At 51.8% G+C, this 23,171-nt stretch overlaps 1 protein-coding gene across 23 annotated transcripts in view, besides 4 other annotated features; it reads right to left on the reverse strand.

Annotated features, from left to right (window-relative positions):
• The window catches only part of SHANK2 (SH3 and multiple ankyrin repeat domains 2), a 785,381-nt gene that overhangs the window by 274,534 nt on the left and 487,676 nt on the right, over positions 1-23,171 (reverse strand). The window lies entirely within an intron of this gene.
• Positions 2,665-3,360: an enhancer, noted in NCBI's record as "H3K4me1 hESC enhancer chr11:70591157-70591852 (GRCh37/hg19 assembly coordinates)". NCBI's record gives its function as "activates a minimal SCP1, AML or CMV promoter by ChIP-STARR-seq in naive H9 embryonic stem cells {active_cell/tissue: H9 hESC(naive)}" and the evidence as "EXISTENCE:reporter gene assay evidence [ECO:0000049][PMID:30033119]".
• Positions 3,361-4,056: an enhancer, noted in NCBI's record as "H3K4me1 hESC enhancer chr11:70591853-70592548 (GRCh37/hg19 assembly coordinates)". NCBI's record gives its function as "activates a minimal SCP1, AML or CMV promoter by ChIP-STARR-seq in primed H9 embryonic stem cells {active_cell/tissue: H9 hESC(primed)}" and the evidence as "EXISTENCE:reporter gene assay evidence [ECO:0000049][PMID:30033119]".
• Positions 4,057-4,752: an enhancer, noted in NCBI's record as "H3K4me1 hESC enhancer chr11:70592549-70593244 (GRCh37/hg19 assembly coordinates)". NCBI's record gives its function as "activates a minimal SCP1, AML or CMV promoter by ChIP-STARR-seq in primed H9 embryonic stem cells {active_cell/tissue: H9 hESC(primed)}" and the evidence as "EXISTENCE:reporter gene assay evidence [ECO:0000049][PMID:30033119]".
• Positions 13,559-13,608: an enhancer, noted in NCBI's record as "active region_5164". NCBI's record gives its function as "activates an Ori minimal core promoter by ATAC-STARR-seq in GM12878 lymphoblastoid cells {active_cell/tissue: GM12878}" and the evidence as "EXISTENCE:reporter gene assay evidence [ECO:0000049][PMID:35858748]".

A 23,171-nucleotide genomic window follows, 5' to 3' on the forward strand; every position in this document is an offset into this window, starting at 1 on the left:
GGCCACTGCACAAAGTAGAAGTTTGGAATGCTTTTTCAAAAGGTAGGCATATTAGTTCTCTGCCTAGGTCCAGGACAATTCTTGGCAGGTTTCTCTTACTAGTAACTACCCAGGCCAAGCTCTGAGAGGGACGGGGAATCCTAAGCAGTCATCACATATTTAACTCCAGATCCACAGTCCCAGTCCAGTTCACGCCACCCCCCACCCGGCTCTGCCATCCCATAATCCAGCACTTCCCCGCATGACAGAGAGGCAGGCCCAGGACGCGGAATGAATGTCAGCACTAATCTGTTTAGGCTCAAAAGGAGGCGGATTCAGAGCTCTCCATGCACAGCCACCCCACTGGGCAGCGTGGCTGACTGGCTGCCGGAGATAAGAGGCAAGGGGGCGGCCTGGAGCGCAGGCATGGCCACTCCCTGCTGGGGGCGGGGGCTGGAGTCTCCCTGCACAGGTGTGACCAGCACTGATAAAGGAAATGGAAAGAAAGTTTGCCTTGGGCTGGAAGTAGAAAATTCACACCTCTGACGCCTTGCACATATTTGATGAGCCGGCTCCTGGCCTGGCGTCCTTGGATGTCTGGCATCTGGAATTCTGCAGAAGCTTCGTGCATATTTTGCTGAACACACCATGTGGCTGCAGTGCTGGTGGGACCTGAGAGGGGATCAGAACCTGGGAGATGGGAGGTGCCTGAGGACCAGCGTGCATCTGCCGGTGCTGAGCGGTGGGGACACAAAGGCACAGGGCGGGGGCTGGAGGGGAAACCTGCAGAATGATCGATAACAGCACAGCCAGGAACGCAGGAGCTGCAGGAGCTAGAGCTGCCAGATGCCAGGGGCAGCGCTCGAGCTGCACGTCTGCGTGCCCCCCCCAGTTCATATATTGGGGCCGAAATCCCCGGTGTGAGGGTGTCTGGAGGTGGGGGCTTTGGGAGGTGATTAGGGTTGGAGGAGGTCATGAGGGTGGGCTCTGGTGATTAGTGTCTTTGCGAGAATAGACGCCAGTACCCCTCGCCCCCCAATGCGAGCACATGGCACAAAGGCTGCTGTCTGCAGACCATAAAGGACTTTCCAGCCTCCAGAGGGCTGAGAAACACTTCTGTTGTTTGAGCCACACAGTCTAGAGGATTTTTGTTACAGCAGCCTGAGCTGACTCAGGAGGAGACGTGATTCCTACTGGGACTTTATTCATCAACATTTACTGCACACACACTGGATGCTTTGGGATAAGCACACAGCTACAGAAAAGCTTCTCTATAGAGCGACGACAGCAGTTACCCTACACAGAGGGGCCGGGAGAGCCCCCACGGGAAGTTGCTCCATGTCCCCCTCACCTTCTCCTCCCTCCTCCAGGCGGGATCCTCAGATCCTGGTGAACTCTGCCCAGCTCCTACATTCCCTGTCCACCAATTCCTGTGGATTCAGGCTCCAAAACGTCTTTCTTTCTCAGGTCTCCTTCCCTCCTTTCCTACCCGGCTGCTGCGACACCCCCACATGGCTCTTTGTGGCTCTGTGAGGCCCTGCCAAACCCTCAGGGTCCTCTTCCTAAGACCCCGTCCACTGCACCTCCTTCTGCCTGCAGAGACTCAGCTGCTCCCGGGCCCAAGCCCTCAGCCCCACACCTGGCCTCAGCCTTCCCTCCGGATCTAACTCCAGCTGGGCATCCCGGGCCACACTTCACGCAGCAGCCACCCTGAGCTGCCACCAATGTGTGGCTGCAGGCCCCTGCCTCCTACCCAAGGGGAGGAAAGTGGAAGAACCAGGAACACACAGGGCCCCAGAGCCACATTCACGCACCTGGCAAGTCGCCACCCCCATGGCCGAGGCTTTAGCCCAAGGCACAGGGTGGGTCTCTGGCCTCCCCCAGGAAGCTCCTGCCCTTGTGGGCTCGGGCGATCAGATCCCAGGGAGGTCTTTCCATGACTGCAGTAGAGGCTGGTCACACCCTGCAGCAAGCATCACTGAGACCCATGTGGGGAACCCTGCCGGGCCCTCCTTCCTCACCTCTAAGCACCCTCTCTGCGCTCTGCAATGTGAGCCTGCAGTGGGGCCTGGCAGGCTATGCCCCCGGCCCCCTGGGGGGTTCCTGCTAGGATCTGCCTACGGGAGGAATGAATGAGCCCAGAAGGTTGGAAGAGGGCAGGCAGCTTCCTCCCTCCTCCTTGCTCCTTTCCAAGTCCCTCTAGGGCAGCCCACAGCAGCTCCAGTGGTCCTGGCATCTCTCTGTGCTTCCACTGCCCACCTGGCTGTGCCCCTGCAGCGGTGACCGTGGTGGTGGAATTGTGATGGCTGGGGACCGAAGTGCCAGCGTTTCTCCAAGCACTAGGACATCGCACAGCCAGACGAAGTTTCTTGGGGCCAATAGCCCTGGGCTGTGGGAGCCCTGGCTGGGCCACACCCCACCTCAGGCATCTGAGGGGCCCCTTGGCTGCACCCCTGCAAGGTCTCAGCTTGGTCAAGCACACAGGCCACCTCTTGAGCGATAAGCACTGTCTTGCTCCCCACCAAGGCTTGAGTCCAGGTAGCCACTTCCCCCAGCCCAGGCAGTGGCAGCTGCACCCTGCAGCTCTGAAGTGAGAGTGAAGGCACAAGAGGACAGACACCACGGGGGACACCGGCGCCCTGACCCAGCATCTGCGGCAGCACCAGGAAGCCAAGCAAACCTCTCAGCAAAAAGCCGCCCCAAGCGGCCAGGACCTCCTCATCAAGGATTGTCATTTTCACCCCAATTTCTACCCGACCTCCAACTCAGGGTCAACCAGAGAAAGCCAAATCTGCTACCCCAACCAATGACTTAGAAGGCCCCAGTGCTAGTGAGCCCCGCCTTTCTCTGCTACAAAGCGTTTCCCTCACTGCCTGCCTTTGAGCCTCTGCCTCATGTAAGTAGCAGGGCCTGGCTGTTGCCACAGCAAGCTCGTGATACCCAGCCTCTGCTTACTCTCGGTTGAGTGGTCTCCACGTATTTCCATGCCAGCCCTGGGTGCCCACATCTCTCATCTATCACCCTCCTTGGGTTGAAACACCCGTGTCTCAGCCCTGGGGCTCACAGTCCCTCAAAACAAACCTCCGGGCCTCCGTCCCCTCCTCCTGCTGCCTTGAAAACACAGTCTTGGCTGTGTCCCTTGGCTCTGTCCCGCCCCTATGAGTGGTCCTGCCACTGTGGTGACTACCCTTGGAGTGTCCTGCCCTGCGCTGGCCTGGCCTGAGGTAAGCCTGGAACTCAGAGAGCCCCAATCCTCTCCGGGGAACGTGGGTCTCGTGTAGAGTAAGCTTGGATGGGTAGAGCTGCTTGGAGCTGGCCTGGCCCCCACCTGGCCCAGGGTCTGCCTCCTACTTCTGTGAGCCGTCCCACTCCCTGCCTCACCTGAGCTGTCCCTAGGTCACCCGCCGCCTTGGAAGTTGCAGAGCCTTGGTGGGAAACGCATTGCTGAGGATGCAAATGCAACTGAGGCTCAAAAGGTGGCCTCATGCCCTGATCCGCCACACCTGAGACCTCGAGCGAGCGTTATTCCTTCATCCGTGTCCTTCACGGTTGTCAAAAAAGGCCTCGGATGTGAAACCATTTGGGCGCATTTACGGAAAAGAAGGCAGCTGAGCACATGCATGCTGCACCCTCCTCTCCAGCCTCCAGCCAACCCAGGGCCTGGGGGCTTTCATGGGAGTTACTGAAGGGAAAATCACACAGGTGCTGACCCGAGACAGGGCTGAGGACCTGCTGGGTCAGAATCTCACACCCACGCTTCAAAGGTGACTCTGACACGGTCCAGGAGGCTGTGAACTCACCCAGCAGATCTGGGGGCAGAGCCCAGGGCTGGGTAGCGTGCCCAGCCACACTTGTAGCACAGAAGCAGCCTCTCCCACCACACTCTCCCGCCTCTCCAGGACAGGGAAGGCTGGGCCTCCCTTCAGGGTGGGGGATGCGGGCTGCCCCATGCTCACAGCCCCCATCTCCTCTCCCACCACACTCTCCCGCCTCTCCAGGACAGGGAAGGCTTGGCCTCCCTTCAGGGTGGGGGATGCAGGGTGCCCCATGCTCACAGCCCCCATCTCCTCTCCCACCACACTCTCCCGCCTCTCCAGGACAGGGAAGGCTGGACCTTCCTTCAGGGCGGGGGATGCGGGGTGCCCCGTGCTCACAGCACGCATCTCCTCTCCCACCACTCTCCCGCTTCTCCAGGACGGGAAGGCTGGGCCTCCCTCCAGGGTGGGGGATGCAGGGTGCCCCGTGCTCACAGCCCCCATCTCCCCGCTGCTTTCAGGGTCACCCCTAGGAGGGGCCGATGGGAGCCTCTGGGTCTGGTCCCTGCCCTCCATCTTGTTGCTCCCCTTTGGTCATCAGCACTTGCAGGTGGCCTTGGGTGACTCTTCTGTGTCCCCAGGCATGTCACACGACCTCCCACCTCAGCTCCTCTATGCCCCGCTGCCCCCACACTGGGGGAGGGCTCTGCCCTACCCTTTCCATCCCAGCCTCAGGTCTGGGCTCTCCAGATCTCTCTGCCACAGCCCCTGGGGATGAGGGTGGCTTGTCTGCTTCCCTCCACCGCTGTACTCCCCTTTACCCCTCCACCCCCCTCCCTCCACCCCAGCACTCCCCTCCCTCCATCCCTGCACCCCCCTACCCCTGTACTCCCCTCCCTCCACCCCTGCACTCCCCTCCCTCCACCCCTGCACTCCCTGCTCAGTCTCTTCCCCTGGCTCATCCATGGTCCCCACGAGTGACTGGGGACTGGGCTGCATGGGGACAAGCCCGAGGTGGTAAGACTCCGCTTGGGTTCACAGAAGTAGGAGACTGAAGGGCTGGGTGGGGTACACCACCCTGAAGTGGAAACCGGTGGCAGAGTTTGCAGCAAGTGCACAGGGAGGTGGCAGGCGGGGAGGTGGGGCTCGGTGCCATGCTTAGGATTGCCCTGCTCTCCAGAACTAGCCCTGGGCAGCAGGGATGGGAGGGACCCGGGCAGTTACCAGCTGGCTACCCGGAGAACACAGTCCTGTTTTCTGCTGGTGGAAAAGTCTTTTCATGGCCTGACATTCTCAGGCTCCTAATCACCCCAGGCCAGGAGCCATGGGGGCCGGGTTTCCTTGTCACATCCTGGAAGGACAGCTGAGTAACTGAAGATTGGCTTACAGACTAGTGTTGGGATTTGGAAGCCTGTTTCCAGGGCAGCCTTTAGACCTGGCACTGCTGGTGGCCACCAGGCTTGCGTTGGAGATAGCACTGTTTGGGTGGGGCTGACCTGGCCCTCCCTCCATATCCCCAGGCCCCAATTCCATGCTGAATAGCAGAGACAACAGCATGTGTGTGCACATGAGTATGTATGTGTGTGTGCATGCTTGCTGCACATATGTATAGTGTGCATATGTGTGAACAGGCACGTGTGTGCATGTATGCCACATGGTACATGTATGTGCAGTGTGCATGTTTGTGAGTGTCCACGTGTGCATGCATGCTGCACGGTGCATGTATGTGCAGTGTTTGTGTGTGCATACATGCACACATGATGTACATATAGCACACACATGAGCATACGTGTATGTGCACATATGTGAATGTGTGTGTATACATGGACAATAATAAATATTAGACGAAAAAAGAGGAGAGGGAAGGAGGCAGGAGACTGCACTGCTATATGGAACAGTGGAGCTGAAACGGGGGTTATCTTGTCCACTCTGTACACCTCCTAGTCAGGAAAACTAAAGAAGTCACATGACTTGTCTGAGATCACACAGCAGAGAAGGACCCTGGGTCTTGACTCCCAGTTCATTTCTCAGCCCACTGCACCACAATGCCTGGAGGCTCTTCCTGTTCCCAGGAATTCTGAGCTGCTCCCAGGATACCCACCACAGACAAACCCTGAACTGAGGAGGCCTCGCCCAGACATAAATCACCAAGAGACACGCTGTTCTGAAAGCCACCAGTGCCGCAGGTCCCCCATGGATGGAATCCCTGGGGCAAAAGGTCCTTTTGGCAAGAGTGAGGAAGTCAAGGGTGAACATCCACTAACCAGAAAAAGGGACCGTCCCCTGCCCACCCCCACAACCATGGTGGGTGCCTGGCTAATGCCTGGTGCTCCCTGGAGGGACTGCTGGCAGGAGGGCAGGAAAAGACACTCCCTAGAATCAGGGAGGGCCAGTGCCCAAAGGGGGCCCCATCAGCACCTAACCCATCAGCTCCTAATGACCTCAGATCCAACAGTCCACCTTTAAAATAAATATTTTCTAATGCCACCCCGATATTGCCAGGAAATAAAATTCACAGATACTAGAAACTTTCAGTATACCCACCCCCAATATAATTCCTTCTAACTGTTAAGGTGCAGACAAACTAGAAGAAGGACATTGTTTACAACACAACCGTCTGCATCTCCATGTGAAATGCTCATACCTACACAGATGGAGTGACCGTGAATGTGAAGACCACTAGTGCCGAATAAGCTGGCGACCCCCTCCCACCAGCCCTGCTGCTTAACAGTGAAGTGGAGAAAAGCTCTTGGAAAAGTTCCAGATTAAAAGCCAGCACTGGAGAGTGCTGCCCTTAGGACACTGTAGAACAACCCTCCACTGACAGCAATCAGAACACTACACAACAGAAACAATAACGAATCCCCCCCATCACACACACACAGCGACCGACCTGAGGGTTCTGAAGAGTAAATAAGAGCAGTCAGATGGGCTCAGGTGTTAGTTTGCATTTCATGGGGGCTTTGTCCTGAGGACCTGCTGCAGACACACAACCATGTGGCACAGGCGACTAAAACCCCAGTACAGCTGACATCTTTCAGGCTGAAGGATTCAGGGGAAGAAGTGCAGGCAACTGTAGGGGAACTGGGGAGTGAGAGGAGAGCCCTGGAGGGAGAAGAGCCAGAGGAAGGGAGTCCCCAGTTCTGGGTGTGCATCTGCAAAAGCCCCAGGCTGACCCCGAAGCACGCATGTGTAGGACAGGCACAAAGGAGTGGAGCAAAAGCTTAAATGAGTGATCTGAGACTTTAACCACTGAAGGCAAGATGGAGATTCCAGTTTGAGTCTAATCATAGTAGCTGTCAGCTCAAACAAATCATAAACATCCTCCAGAGGAATATAACACAACCCACAATCTACACAACATAATACTCACAATATCAAGCAAACAATCCAAAATTCCTGGGAAAATATGACCCCATTCTCAAGAGAAAAGACAAGAGATAGCAGGCTTGAGATGATGCAGATGCTGGACCTAGGAGGCAATGAGTTTAATGCCACTATTGTAACTATTTCAACAAGGAAAGGTAAATGTGGTGAACATTTTCATAAAAAGGAACCAAATGAAAATGTTAAAGTTGAAAAACACAACATCTGAAACAATCCAATGGACAGCCTTAGTAGGATAAAAGTGACGAAGACAAGACTCAGGGAACTTGACAAATCAATGACATTTGTCTAATCTGAAGAAGAAAGAAAAAAAGACTGAAAAAAAAATAGACAATGTCAGGGTTCCAAAGGACAGTATTACAAAAAATCTAAGGATTGGATAATCACAGTCACAGAGAACGAGGCAGAAAAAAGTATTTTAAGAAATAATAAACAAACTTCTCAAATTTGATGAAAGAAACGAATGCACAGATTCAAGAAACTCAGCAAGTACTTCTAGTTCCAGGAAAGATGGAGTACACACACCACACTCTGTTTCCCTAGTTAACGCAGCTAGCAAACCTGGGCAGATGCTGTTATTTATGGACTCTGAAAAATAAAGAGTAGCAGGCAATTGGAGAAGAAAGGCAGATTTCCAAGTACCACTAAAGAAGCTGTGAGTTTCCCATTTTTTCCCTTGGGCTGTCACCTGGCTGGGACTCAAAGGTAGCCTGAAAGCCACATGTGTATAACAAGTGTGGATAAAAAGAGCTTCAAGAAAAGGGAGCCCCAAGGTTCAGAGTGCATGGGAGATCTTCCCTTTCATTCTTTATTGCCTTTTCTCCCACCCACAGCCTCAAGCAATCCTGTGGTGGCGGAGGTTGGGCAGGCACCTAAAACTCTGGAGGAGGGGATCCTTCTTTCTGGCCAGAGGAGCTGTGGTCCACACATGTGGAGGAATCCCCATTGCTTTTGGCCTCTCTCTCTCTTTTTCTGCCATTTGACCGTGGATGAAGGTCCATTTGCAGTAAGTTTATGGCAAAGCAGGGAAATTAATTAAGGTCCCAGTTTTTCATCCAGAAGCCTGATAAAGGGGTCTCCATGGACACGGAAAATGTCAGGGAGACTGTAGTGAGGAGGGAGCAGAACAGGGATCGTGTGAAGTGGTGTGTGAACTTCTAGGCTCAGCTCCAAGTTGTGCACAGGTGGATCTGACCTCGAACAGCATATCAATGATATTCAGAAAAGAACTAAGAGATAAAAACCACCACCATCTCCAAGCTTGGCGAGTGTCTGTGCATACGTGGGACAGATCTCAATCGCAAGCCAAGGGGTTAGAAGCTCATTTGACGTTGGAAACCATGCATAAAAGTTCTATAAAAGGAATTTAGGGCTTGATCTCAACCAAGTGCTCATGTCAACCTATTCCATCGGGTTTAAACAAGACCCAGAGTATCTTAACAAAATATTCCAAATGTCCATGATACAGGTTTCATTTACTTGGCATACCAAGAACTAGAAATATGCCAACTCTCAACGGAAACAATACAAATGAAAAAAAAATTACTAGATGTGTCAAAAGCAGAATATAGAAGACAGAGGAAACAAATAGTGACCTTGAAGACAGATCCATAGAAATTATCCAATCTGAACAAGAGAGAAAAGCACATAAACTTACAGATTCAAGAAGCTCAATGCATCCTAAACAGGATTAGCTCAAAAAATCCATTCCCAGACACGTCCAAATCAAATTGCTGAAGACTAAAAACGAAAAAATATATACTGAAAGCAGCTAGAGAAAAATGACATATTTCATACAGAAGAAAAACCACAGGAATTACTGCAGATTCCTCATCAGAACTATGGAGGTCAGAAGGAAGTGGAACAGTATTTTTAAAATACTGCAAATGCAGGATTCTATACCCAGTGAAAATATCCTTCAGGAATAAAGGTTAAATCAAGACATTTTTAGATGAAGCAAAACCAAGAACATTTGTGGCCAGCAGGTCAACTTTAAGAGGAATGCCAAAGATAATGCTTGGAATGGAATGGATATGATACCAGAGAGCCTTTGAAAGTCAGGAATAAAGAAGTACAGACAAAATGGTCAATATCTTTTAATAGACTATACTTCACTTCTTACATTCTTGAAAATACGATGGTTGAAGTAAAAATTATTATATTTTATGATAGTAGTTTCAATATATGTGGGTTTAATACACGTGATAGCTACACCAAAAAAGGGAGAGAATAAAGCGATCTATATGGTGGTAAGGTTTCCATGTTCTACTTGCAGTGGTAAAGCATTAAGTAAACTGGGAAAAGCTACATATGTGTATTGAAATCACAGACTAATTGCTTTAATAAAAAAAAAAGCTATATAATTGTTTTAAAGCCTCCAAAATTAAATTAAAATGGAAAAGTAACAAGTCAAATAATAATCCAAAAATTATCGGGAAAGAAAAATAGAGAATAACGTGCAAAGGAAACAAATAGAAAATAAGAAATAAAATGGTAGATATAAATACTAACACATTAATAATAACATTAAATTTAAATGCTCTAAACACATCAAATAAAATAGATTACCAGATGGAGTTTTATTTTTTTATTTAAAAAGTTGACTTCTTTATTATTTTTTTGTAGAGATGTGATCTCACTTTCTTATCCAGGCTGGTTTTGAACTCCTGGCCTCAAGCAATCCCTCCCCCCTTGGCCTCCCAATCAGATGGACTTTCAGAAAACTAACCAATGACATGCAGTCTATAAGGACTCAAATTTACATATAACAACATAGGGAGGTTAAAAACAAAGGGATAGAAAAAGACATACACACACTAATAAGAAGAAAGCCAGAGTGGCTATATTAATATCAAAGTAGTCTCAAGTGCAAGGAAAATTGCCAGGGATAAATAGGAACATTGAATAATGATTAAAAAAAATCAATTCGGCCGGGCGCGGTGGCTCACGCCTGTAATCCCAGCACTTTGGGAGGCCGAGGCAGACGGATCACAAGGTCAGGAGATCGAGACCACGGTGAAAGCCCGTCTCTACTAAAAATACAAAAAGTTAGCCGGGCGAAGTGGCGGGCGCCTGTAGTCCCAGCTACTCGGGAGGCTGAGGCAGGAGAATGGCGTGAACCCGGGAGGCGGAGCTTGCAGTGAGCCGAAATCGCGCCACTGCACTCCAGCCTGGGTGACAGAGCGAGACTCCGTCTCAAAAAAAAAAAAAAAATCAATTCACCAAGAAGACACGCCAGTCGTGAATAACCTAACCAGTATAATAATACCTAATGCCAGCATAAACCTACAACCTAACATTGGAACTTCAAAATACATGAAGCAGGCCAGGTGCAGTGGCTCACACTTGTAATCTCAGTACCTTGCGGGGCCGAGGCAGGCAGATCACGTGAGGTCAGGAGTTTGAGACCAGCCTGGCTAATATGGTGAAACCCTGTCTATACTAAAAATATAAAATTAGCTGGGTGTGGTGGCAGGTACCTGTAATCCCAGCTACTTGAGAGGCTGAGGCAGGAGAATCGCTTGAACCCAGGAGATGGAGGTTGCAGTGAGCCAAGATCATGCCACTGCACTCCAACCTGGGTAACAGAGTGAGATTCTGTCTCAAAACAAAACAAAACAAACAAACAACAAAACAAACATGAGGCAGAAACCAACAGAACTGTTAAAAAAAAAAAAACAAAAAACAAACAAAAAAAAACAAAATGGACAGCCACACGATGATACTGGAAAATTTCCACATTCCTACGTTCTCAGCAATCAACAACAGAGGACAAGTCAGCAAGGCTATAAACACTTAAAAATACCATCAAAAGGACCGAACTGACATTTAAAGAACACCGCACTCAACAATAACGAGCATAATATACATTCTTTTCAATGTCCACAGAATATTCGCCAAGATAGACCACAGCCTGAGTCAAAAAAATAGAAAAAGAACAAAATCAACTCAAAGCATGGAGAAGGAAGCAAATAACAAAATAAGGACAGCAATCAATAAGCTAAAAGCACAGGGAGAAAGGAGAAAACTTAATGAAGTTCAAAGGTAGTTCTTTCAAAAGATCAATAAAATTGATAAAAATTTTAGTAAGACTGACAAAGAAATAAAGACAGAAGACACAAATTACTAAAAGAGATGATATCACTACAGGGCTGACTTTAAACAGATAATGAGGGAATACTGTGACCAAGTCTAAGATAAATTTGACAATTTAGGTAAAATAAACTAATTCTCTAAAAGTTGCAAACTTCCAGAACTCACCTAGGAAGGAGATAAATTGTCTTACATCTATTAAAGATATTAAGTGTGTGTGTGTGTGTTTGAGACAGAGTCTCACTCAGTCACCCAGGCTGGAGTGCAGTGGTGCAATCTCAGCTCACTCCAAACTCTGCCTCCTGGGTTCAAGTGAGTCTCCTGCCTCAGCCTCCTCAGCAGCTAAGATTACAGGCGTGCACCACCATGCCTGACTAATTTTTGTATTATTAGTAGAGATGGGGTTTCACCACGTTGGCTAGGCTTGTCTTGAACTCCTGACCTCAAGTGATCCACCCACCTCGGCCTCCCGAAGTGCTGGGATTACAGGCGTGAGCCACTACGCCTGACAATTGTGTAGTTTAAAAAGCATCTGAAAAAGACTTCTTGACTCCAGTGATTTCGCTGGTGAATTTTGCCAATCATTTCAAGAAGCAGCAACACCAACTCTACACAATTCCTCCCAGAAAAGAGAAGTGGAGGGAACGCTTCCCAAATTAATTTATAAGGGCAGCATTATTCTGATACACAAACCAGACAAAGACAGCATAAGACATCAATACACCAACATCCCTCAGGAACATAGACACAGATCCTTAAAATATTAGGAAGTCAAATCCAGACATATATTAGTAGAAAGGGAATCATGAGCAAGTGTGCTTTATCCTGGGAGTGCAAGGCTGGTTCAATATTTGAAAAATTTATTGATGTAAGCCACCATATAAACAAACTAATGAAGAAAAACAGATAATCATAGCAACTGGTGCAGAAAAAGCCTTTGAGGAAATTCTACATAGGTGACAGCCTCCCCCCGGTGAGCTCGAGCAGAGCCCAGCCTGGAACTTGTGGCCCATGCCTTCCACATTTGGGTTCTGAGTAGCCTGGCAAAGGCAGCGGTAGGAGGAGGTGGAAATAAAGAGCTTTCTGGCCCCCATGGTCTCTGACATTACTTGAATACCATGGACCCATAAGAGTTAGTGGCGGGGCCTCAGTGGCAGGAGAGGGAGGACAAGGATGAAAAGTCCAGGTGTCTGGGCAATGCTGAACACCTTCCAGACAGCACGTTTCCAAGAAATGCTGACAAAACCGAAGAGCTGGGAAGTGCTGCTTCAAATATCTAGATTTAACACGGCCCCAGATGCAGAGAGACATCGATTACAGGGAGGCACCTGGGTCCCTAAGAAGATACTAATACAGCAATAATAACGGCTATGATTACAAAATAATAAGTAACGATACTAGTAAAAGCAAGATCCCAGAAGTACTTCGAAATGTCCCGCACAATTCCTATGTATGAAAACCCTGTTCATAATCTTTTTTTTTTTTTTCTGAGATGAAGTCTTGCTCTGTTGCCCAGGCTGGAGTGCAGTGGCGTGACCTCGGCTCACTGCAACCTCTGCTTCCCAGGTTCAAGTGATTCTCCTGACTTGGCCTCCCAAGTAACTGGGATTACAGGTGGCCACCACCACACTCAGCTAATTTTTGCATTTGTAGTAGAGACAGGGTTTCACCATGTTGGCCAGGCTGGTCTCGAACTCCTGACCTCAGGTGATCCACCTGCCTCGGCCTCCCAAAGCGCTGGGATTACAGGTGTGAGCCACTGCGCCCAGCGCGCAGGCAGCCTTCTTCCTGTGGGTGTCCACCCTCCAGGGGCTTCCTGCAGAAACTGTGTGCAGGGGTGCACTCCGGCCCCTCATCCCATCCCTGCCCTGTGAGCGTCCAACCTCTTGGCCTCTCTGGTGCCCTGTGGGCACCCGGGCAGAGCCAGTGGCTTTCCAGGCACGTCCCCAGCCCCGGCCCCGGCCTGCAGTGGTGGCAGTGGGACCACAGTGGAGATTCTGGGGACAAGGCCCAGCAGGTTCTCCTGGCAACCGGCCTTTCTCGTGCGGAAGGGACTCACTCCTGGAGGCCGCCCTCGGCTCCGCACCCCGCGGCTGCCATCTAGTGGCCACAAGCAGGGACGCCAGGCAGTGAGTCCGCTCCTACCAGGCGAGCGACAGGCCACAAGAGGGAAGACACCGCGCCAGCAGATTCCTGGAACGCCGCGGCTTCCGGAGGGGCCTCCCAGTGCTGGGGCCATCGTAGGGCCACTTTTGCATCACCCTCCGATTGTTGGAAATACAAGTTTATTTCCATCTTACAGGATGGCTTTCCGTTGCCCAGCTCTTGAATACCCAGCCCTCCCAGCTGTGCCTGTGCAGAAAGCCAAGCCTATGACTTAGCCGCTTCACCGAGCCCCGGACCCCACTGACGTCCTGGGGCCAAAGGCCTCTGTGATCTTGCGGAGATGGCTCTGCTGCTCTGAGCTCGTTTCCTCACTGGCCGCAGCGGGTTCAGGGTGACAGCTGCAGCCCCCGTGCGAGCAGGTGCAGGAGACATCCCCAGCTCCCCCAGAGGCAGGTTCCCAGAGCGAGGCAGAGAACCTTCCAGACTCCAGGCTGGAGGTCTCTCTTCCACCCTCCAGCCAGGGAAAGCTCCCTTCCTGAATGTCCAGGCTCTGATGGGAAAGATCCTTTACCTGAAAACGCTCAAATGCTGGCCTGGGTTCTCTGAGCCTTAGAGGCACATTTTCTGAAACAGGGATAATAAGGGTTCCAGGAGCACTCACTGATCCTGGGGGCTGGCCACGGTGCTGGGCCTAGGGATAGACAGGAGGTGAACCGGAGAAGAGCCCAGGTTAGCAGGTGAAGCCCCCACGCTGCCTGGCACAGAGCACACCCTCTCCCAGAACAGGCATTTGAATCCACCGCCGCCTGCACGCTCCTTCCCTCCAGCTGTGTGGGCAGGGGCTGTGGCTACCTCTCTAACTAGTCTCACAACCCCTGCTGCCCTCTCTGGGGTCCAGGCAGGTTCCATGGCATCATACTGGACCCTGCTTTCTGCCACTAGCAGGGGAAGACGGGGAGGCTTGGAGCTGCTGAGGGCAGGGCCTCGGCTGCACACTCTGGGGCACCAGGCAGCCCCACACCCCTATCATCTCAGTGGCCACGCAGCGTTGAACATATTCTGACATACGGAATTTTGCTTTGTAAGCTGCTTTGTCTTTCTGGGAACGTGTCCTCTAAGCTCACCTTTACACAGATCTGCAGCTTGTCTTATGTAGATCAGCACAGAATGTTACAAAAGAGAACGGATACATAGAGCAGACCCTGGGCTCAGACCCAGGCTCCAAACCTCCTGGGCCAACCACTCCACTTCCCCAGGTCCTTGCGCCCCCGTCTGCAAAATGGAGCACTAGCAGTTTCCATGATATTGGACGTTTGGCAAGGATTATGGAGGGGAGCCGTGTGAAGGTCAAAGGCTGGCAGGTAACAAATGCTTAATAAATGTGACTATTCTTATTTTTATTCCTCCATGCATCCCTTTAGTAGACAAGTATCTACTGAGCCCCTGCCCTGAGCAGGAGAGACAGGAAGCAGGAAGGTTAATAGCAGTGTTAGGAGCTGGACTCCTGGGTTTGAATCCCACCCAGCTTTGCCATTTATGAGCTGGCTGACCTTGAGCAAGGGGCTTACACTCTCTAGCCTCGGTTTCCTTATCTGTAAAAAGGGATAACAACCATATCAACCCATGCAGATAAGAGTGAGCATAGCAGGCCTGTGGCTGCTGCCCTGAGAAAGTCCTGCCCGCAGGGCTGGCCCCTAGCTGGCATCTGGGAGCTGAAATGTCCCCTACATGGAGAGGCCGGGACACCCAGCCCTGCGGCAGCAGCTCCCATGGCGTGTTGAGCCAACACTGTGGTGTATGCAAGCAAAACCCCAGCTTTCCTTCCAGAAGTCGGGAATTGTGGCACGTGCCAGGCTGAGGGTGCCTACGTGACAGGATTCCCAAGGGAGAAATATTTCACACATGTGGCTGCATTTTTTCCTAGTGGGTGGGGAATGTGCTGTGTCCCCTCAAGGAGAGAGGGAGGGGGCTTCAGTCTGCTCATGGATGCCTGCAGACTCCGCCTAAGCTGTGGCACTGTTATAAACCTTAGACAACAGGATGACTCTATATCGAGTCCTGCGAGTCCTTCCAGAGGACCCCAGAATGTGTGGGTGGGGTCCCCCGACACACCATCCCATAGGCCTGCATGAATGTCCCAGGGTTGCTACAACAAATGACCCCAGACCAGGAGGCCTGGACAACAGATGTTCATTCTCTCAGTTCTGGAGGCTGGAAGTCTGAGATCACGGTGTCTGTAGGATGGGCTCCTTCTGGAGGTGAGAGACAGAACTAGATGGATTTCCTAGGCAGACTAAGAATCCCTAAGCCCAGCTGGGAAGGTGACCGCATCCACCTTTAAACACGGGGCTTGCAACTTAGCTGACACCCAACCAATCAGATAGTAAAGAGAGCTCACTAAAATGCTAATTAGGCAAAAACAGGAGGTAAAGAAATAGCCAATCATCTATTGCCTGAAAGCACGGGGGAGGGACAATGATCGGGATGTAAACCCAGGCATTCCAGCCGGCAATGGCTACCCGCTTTGGGTCCCCTCCCGTTGTATGGGAGCTCTGTTTTCACTCTATTAAATCTTGCAACTGCACGCTCTTCTGGTCCGTGTTTGTTACGGCTCGAGGTGAGCTTTCGCTCGCCATCCACCACTGCTGTTCACCGCCATCCCAGACCCGCCGTTGACTTCCACCCCTCCGGATCTGGCAGAGTGTCCCCTGCACTTCCGATCCAGCGAGGCGGCGCCCATTGCTGCTCCCAATTGGGCTAGAGGCTCGCCATTGTTCCTGCGCCAGCTAAGTGCCTGGGGTTGGTCCTAATCGAGCTGAATAGAGCTGTAACACTGACTGCATGGCCCAGGATTCCATTCCTTGGAATCTGTGAGGCCAAGAACCCCAGGTCAAGGAACAAGAGGCTTGCCACCATCTTGCAAGTGGCCCGCCATCATCTTGGGAGCTCTAAGAACAAGGATCCCCAGTTAACAGAGGCTCTGAGGAAGAATCTGCCCCAAGCCTCTCTCCCAGCCTCTGGGGCTGCTGGCACCCCTCAGCAGTCCCTGGCTTGTGGCCGTATCCCTCCAACTTCTGCCTCCATCTTCACATGTGAGAACTAAAAATAAAATCCTAAGCCCCCGACTGACTGGAACAAGGGGACACCACAGAAGCCTTAAAAACTGAGTTCTGGCCGGGCGCGGTGGCTCACGCCTGTAATCCCAGCACTTTGGGAGGCTGAGGCAGGCGGATCACGAGGTCAAGAGATCAAGACCTTCCTGGCCAACATGGTGAAACTCTGTCTCCACTAAAAATACAAAAATTAGCCAGGCGTGGTGGTGTGTGCCTGTAGTCCCAGCTACTCAGGAGGCCAAGACAGAGAACTGCTTGAACCTGGGAGGCAGAGGTTGCAGTGAGCAGTGAGCCGAGATCACGCCACTGCACTCCAGCCTGGGCAACAGAACAAGACTCCATCACAAAACCAAACCAAACCAAACCAAAACAAAACAAAAAAACTGAGTTCTGGCCGGGCACAGTGGCTCACACCTGTAATCCCAGCATTTTGGGAGGCTGAGGCAGGCAAATCACTTGAGGTCAGGAGTTGAAGAGCAGCCTGGCCAAACCCCGTCACTAGTAAAAATACAAAAATTAGCCGGGCGTGGTGGCAGGTGCCTGTAATTTCAGCTACTTGGGAGGCTGAGGCAGAGTTGCTAGAACCCGGGAGGCGGAGGTTGCAGTGAGCCCAGATCGCACCACTGCACTCCAGCCTGGGCTACAGAGCAAGACTCCATCTCAAAAACAAAAAACAAAAAAGCAAAACTGAGTTCCAACCATGATGGGACAGGAGGTTGGGCACGTCTTGTTATGCTGCTCCCTGTTGAGGTTTAGCCACAACTGGCCGGCGTTAACACTAAAGGAGAGATTGTGAGACTGATAGAATGGGCTCCTGGTGGCAATAAGAGACTGGATTGTAAGCAAGACCTAAGACTGTGTGAGGCAAGGGTGAAGTCATGCACCCCACACTTAAATAAACGAGTTCTGGCTGTCATAGTGCTTTTCTCTTCCTCTAGCAGCCAGCAAGCCCCGGCCTTGGGATGGACAACATTAAAACCATTGCAGCTCCACCAGATGCTGATAACAGACCCCATGCCAGCAGCCATAACTATAACTGTGATTGGATAAGAGGCTGATTTCAGTAGCTTTCTCTTGATAAGAAACCACTGGCCAAAGACTGAGGCATGGGACGGATTCTACCTCGGAGCTTCCAGAAGGAACCCACCCTGCAGACACCTTGATTTCAGACTTCCAGCCTCCAGAACTATGAGAGACCGGCTCTGCCGGTTTACAGAGGCTGCTCACTGAGCGGCTTTACGTTCCTGCTTCACCTTTTGACATACAGAGCCTGACTGTAATGCCTTTAAATGTGAAGCCTCCACCCCAGGTGAACATGGGACGCATGTAACACGCATGTGTGCTCAGTGCACATGTCAGGACCTGCTTTGTGAATATTCACAGCTCCTCCTGTAACCTGCTGAGTATGCTTAACCTGCCATAACCTTAGCCAATGCATTCAGCATAAAGCCCCGTTCCACCCTCACCTCCTCGAAGCGCCTGCCTCTGGTTTTGGCTAGAGGCCCAATTCCCAGCTCACAGGTTGTAACCCTTTATAATAGTCTCCCTTCTAAATTTATAAATCGTGCAATTCTTGGGCTGACATGTGACTTTCTGCTCCCCACGTTTGTTCCTCCTCTCTTCTAAGGTCACCTGCCATTGGATTTGGAGGCCATCGTAATCTAAGATCTCATCTCAAGATCCTTAACTACATTTGCAAAGATGCTTTTATTTTCCAAATAAGGTCTGACTCATAGCACCTGGAAGTTAGGACGCATACTGGTCATGGGTGGGGCCAGCATTCAGCCTGACAGGACCCTTGAGGGGACTCGATGAATCCCTACCCTACAGTGCTGTGGGAGTGTGCAGCACAGGGAGCGGCTCGGGAAGGCCCCATGGTGGCTGCTCCCCTGAGCATTGCACACCTGTCCCTGCCTAGGCAGTGGCCTGGAGGCTTCCAGCTGAAGGCAGTTGCTGAGGCTGCAGGTACCCCAGGAGCAAATGAAGGGATTAACCTGGAGGGTGGTAGTCAGTGTAGGAAGGCTCCCGGGAGGAGTGACCTGTGGGGCAGAGGCTGGAGGATGAGAAGAGCCAGCAGGAGGCGGGTCCAGAGCCATGTTTGCAGGGCTTCAATGCAGGGAGGTGATGGTCCCCTGGAGGATGTGCTCAGGGAGCTGCAATGCCCAGGGGCAGTGGTGGAGGTGCCGGCTTTCCAGGCTGCAGGTCGGGTGGGAGAGGCCCCACTGGGAGGAGAGCGTGGGACCCTCCTCTATCAGTGTGCTGGGTCTCTGGATAAATGAGACAAAGTCGTCTGCTGTGGACTGAATGGTGTCTCCTCCCCACAAATTCAAATGTTGAAACCCAAACCTCTAACAGGATGGTATCTGGTGATGGGGCCTTTGGGAGGTGACTGGGGTGAGATAAGGTCATGATGGTGGGGCCCCTATGATGGGATTTGTGCCCTTACTAGGAGAGATAAGAGAGTCCCAGTCTTTTTCTCCCTTGGCCACACGGGGGCATAGCGAGGAGGTGTCCATGAGCCAGGCAGGCTCCCTGATCTGGGACTTTCACTCTCCAGCACTGTGAGAAAATCGATTTCTGGTGTGTGAGCCCCAGTCTCGATTGTGTTTGTTTCAGCAGCCTGAGCTGAGACATCAGCCTTCCCCAGACCCACAGAACGAGGCACCATGTCTGCGTGGGATGATGATGATGGTGAAGGGTGTCCAGTGAGTGACGCACCTCTATGGGTCCTCTGGCTCATCCCGGGTGCACCAGTGTTCCCCTCACATTCTGGAGAAGACTCTGAAACACTCCAAGGTGCAGGGCTTCCCCGGCTTTGCCATGTGTTCCAGTCCCTGGGGGTCTTGCCAGCAGGCAGGCTCTCATTCAGTAGGTTCTGGGGGCCTGGGAGCCTGCATTCCTAACAAGCACCCAGGTGACCATGCCCATGCTGTGCTCCATGGGCCACGTTGAGTGGCAAGATCTTCACGAGTGGCCCTTGACCTCAGCCATCCTTGTGCAGATACCCCCAAACCTGAGCTGCCCCGGAGGGCTTTTTAAAGCATAGAACTTCAGATTCCAGGGTGGAGTCTGGGATTCTGCATTCCTAGCAAGTTCCCGGCTGCTGCTGCTGCTGCTGCTGGTCTGGGGCATCCAGCTGGAGCAACACTGCCCAGGTGGTTCTCAGCCCCAGCGGCTTTTCTCAATGACTGCTGCCCTGGCCCCGCCCACTCCATCAGCATCTGTGGGCGTGGGGTTCTTTTTGCAGCGCCCCAGAGATTCAGAGAACCCCTGACTTCGCTCCTGCTCTCTTTTCCTCAATCTGCCAATGCTCATCTCATGAATATTTCATCTTTAAAGCAGACAGAATAGAGCAAAGCTCCAACAAAGCAAAACCTAAGCCAACGCGGTAGTTCTCAAAATTCTGTGGTTTTACAAACGTGGCCTGAAATTAGCTTATTTTTAAGCCGAAGGAAAATGAAGCCCATGTCAATCGCAGACCTCCCAAGTGTCCTGGCTGGAGACAGAAGTTCTCCCTGGGTGGGTACTGTCAGGCTGTCGGTTAGTGGCATCCAGGGCCCCCCAGACCAGCAGGATGCAGAGGAAATGAGAAGGAATGTCAGTGGTGGGGGCGCCTCTTTTGAGTCTGTATTCTGGAGTTGGTGGGCAGCTGGTCTGAGGGCCATGGTGAGAGTCTTCCACCAGGGTTTTTGTGGTGCCAAGTGTCCGGGTGCTTGGAGACCACCCCAGGGTGCTGCCCCTCCAGTCTAAGCCCAGCCACTGGATGACAGGGCTGATGGTCCAGTACAGAGGTGCACAGACCCCAGGCCCCAGGTCCACAGATCCCACAAGCAGTGGAGGTCATAGCTCCTTCCTCAGTATGAGCCATCTGGATGGCCTAGTGTCTACCTTAGGGCAGGTGCCCCTGGGTCCTCTCAGGTAAGCCACACTGACCTGGAGAGGCAAGAGGTGAGGGGCATTAAGGCCACCTGGCCCTCTACAGCGGCCACCTGAAATGTGTGCCCTCATTTCAGCCCGGAGGAGGAGGGAAGCACAGACAGGTGGTGGCCTTGTTAGAGAAGCTCAGAATGGAGGCGGGAGAGATGCTGTCACTTTTCAAAGTCATGGCTGGTGGCCAGGCCACGTGATGGGAGCACGCTCACCTGCACACCACCATGAGGCCCGGCCATACTGCATTCCACCTGGGCACATCCCTCCCAGCCACTCAACTCTTTCCTAACCACCCCCTTTCCCTGCCAAGGAGCCTGATCTGAAGGAGCAGGGTGTGACAGGGGAACTCATTGGCTGTGCGACCTGGAACAAGTCACTTAACCTCTCTGAGCCTTAGTTTCCTCATGTGGAGGATAGAGCGAAAACCAATCTGCCTTGGAGGGTGGGTCTAAGTTACAACAAATGCAACCCAAATGATGCATCCTAATGAACACCAGTGATGAAGCACCTGCCACGTGCAGCAGCCACGTACATAACCATCTTTGAGACAGGGCCATGGGATGGGAACTCCCATCCCCATGGGACAGCAGGGGACACAGGGGCACAGAGGGTTTGCTGGCAGGGGTGGAGCTGCTCCGGGATAACTGTGCTGCCCTGAGGATTGGGTGAGTGGATGTGGGTGAAGCATCAGGGCCTGGCTCTGCAGGGAAGTGTAGCAGAAGTTGGACGTTCTCATGACTCCCATGCCCTTCTGTGCTCTGAGCTGCTCGGGACCAGGCTGGGCTCGCAGTGGTCAGTGAAAGGCCACCTACTGGGGCCAGCCTCATGAAGGGGCTGAGGGCCATGTGCTTTCGGGCCAACAGCACCCACAGAAAGCACCCTGTGACCTGGACAGCAGCATGCCTGGCTCTGAGCCTGTTGGGCCATATGGATGCCCGATGCATAATGGTCTGCAGCTGACTGCAATAAAGAGCAGGCAGGCAGAATGCATTTGACAGGAGGGTGTCACCCCTAGAACCACACCCAGGGAGACGGAGAGGCCCAAGCTTCAAGGGAGCACAGCCCCATTGCAGGCTTACTAGAGAGAGAGGCTCAGCTGTCCTGGGCCTCTGGGCACACTGTGAGTGGATGTGACTCAGCATCAACCACACTATTAAACCGCTTTTTAAAAGGGTGGAATGTATGAAAGTTAGATGCTGACATGAAATCATACCACATTAAACTGCATGTATTTATTCAGAGCTGTGGGAATCATAGAGCAAAGTTTTCCATTGCTCAAACTATCTGATTATTAAGTCATCCATATACCCACCAATCCATCCATCCATCCATCCATCCATCCATCCATCCACCCACCCACCCACCCACCCACACATCAAGCCTTCCTTTATCTCTTCCTTCCCCTCTCTCTTTTGTCCATCAATCCATTCACCCACCCACCCATCCACCCATGCATCCACATATCCACCCATCCATCTATCCACTACCCACCCATGCATCCATCCATCCATCCATCCATCCACACATCCATGCATCCATTCACACATCATTCCATCCTTTATCCCTCCCTCCTCCTTCTATCCATCTATACATTCACCCACTCACCCACCCATCCATCCACATACCTACCCACACATCCATCCATCCATCCATCCACGCACCCATCCATCCACCCACCCATACATCCACACATGCATCTATCATCCATCCATCCATTCACACATCAATCGATCCTTTATCCCTCCCTCCCCTCTCTCTTCTATCCATCTATCCATTCACCCACCCATCCACCCACCCATCCATCCACCTATCTACCCACACACTGATCCATCTACCCATGCATCCACATATCCATCCATCCATCCATCTACCCACCCACCCATGCATCCATTCACATATCCACCCACCCACTCATGCATCCACACGTGCATCTATCCATCCACACTTGCATCAATCCATCCATCATCCATCCATCCATCTACCCACTCACCCATCCATTCACACATCTGTCCATCCACTCACACATCCATCCATCCACTCACACATCCATCTGTGCTTTATCCCTGCCTCCTCTCTTCCATCCATCCATCCATCCATCCATCCATCCATCCAGTTGGTCACATATTTATTAGCACCTGTTTTATGCCAAGTTCTATGCAGGGCAGGCACTGATGAATCAGAGAGGGTGTTACATATGGCCCCTCTCCCAACAGATTCTTAGGCCTGGAGGGAAGTAATCCATTAATGAAAGACAAGCCACTGAACAACAGCCCAAGGGAAGAAGACTACACCAGTTCTGTTTTGATCGGGGAGAGAAGTGTCAGGGCAGGAAGTGGGGAGGTGCAGAACTGAGGTGGAAGGGAAGAGGGAGTTGGGCCTGCCTTCCATCCATTTCCTGTTTCCTGGGGAAACATTATAGCCCACGTCTGTGTGCCAGTCTTTGTGACCCAAGTGGCATGGCTGGCCGCCTCCAAAGATATGCATGCAATTCAGGTCTGGTCAAAGGGTTCATCCAACTCCCTTGGCCAGCATGATTGGGTCAGGGATGGGCAGTGATTCAAATCAGTCCAGTGAAATTAGATCCTGAACCTTCTTTTACAATGACTGGGAAAGAGGCAGTCTTGCTCTTATGTGACTACTAAAACAGCAGAATGCTAGCCTGGTGCTGCCGGTGACCACCTCTGAATGGCATGGGGGAGTTCATACAGACAACACCAGAGAAAAGAGAATGAGAGCTTCTTAAGGCTCCCTAAGCACCTGGATCCAGCCAGGACTGAAGCTGTTATTCCTAAACTTAAAAGCCGTTAAA

Source organism: Homo sapiens, chromosome 11 (genome assembly GCF_000001405.40).
Source record: "Homo sapiens chromosome 11, GRCh38.p14 Primary Assembly".
Taxonomy (NCBI): domain Eukaryota; kingdom Metazoa; phylum Chordata; class Mammalia; order Primates; family Hominidae; genus Homo; species Homo sapiens.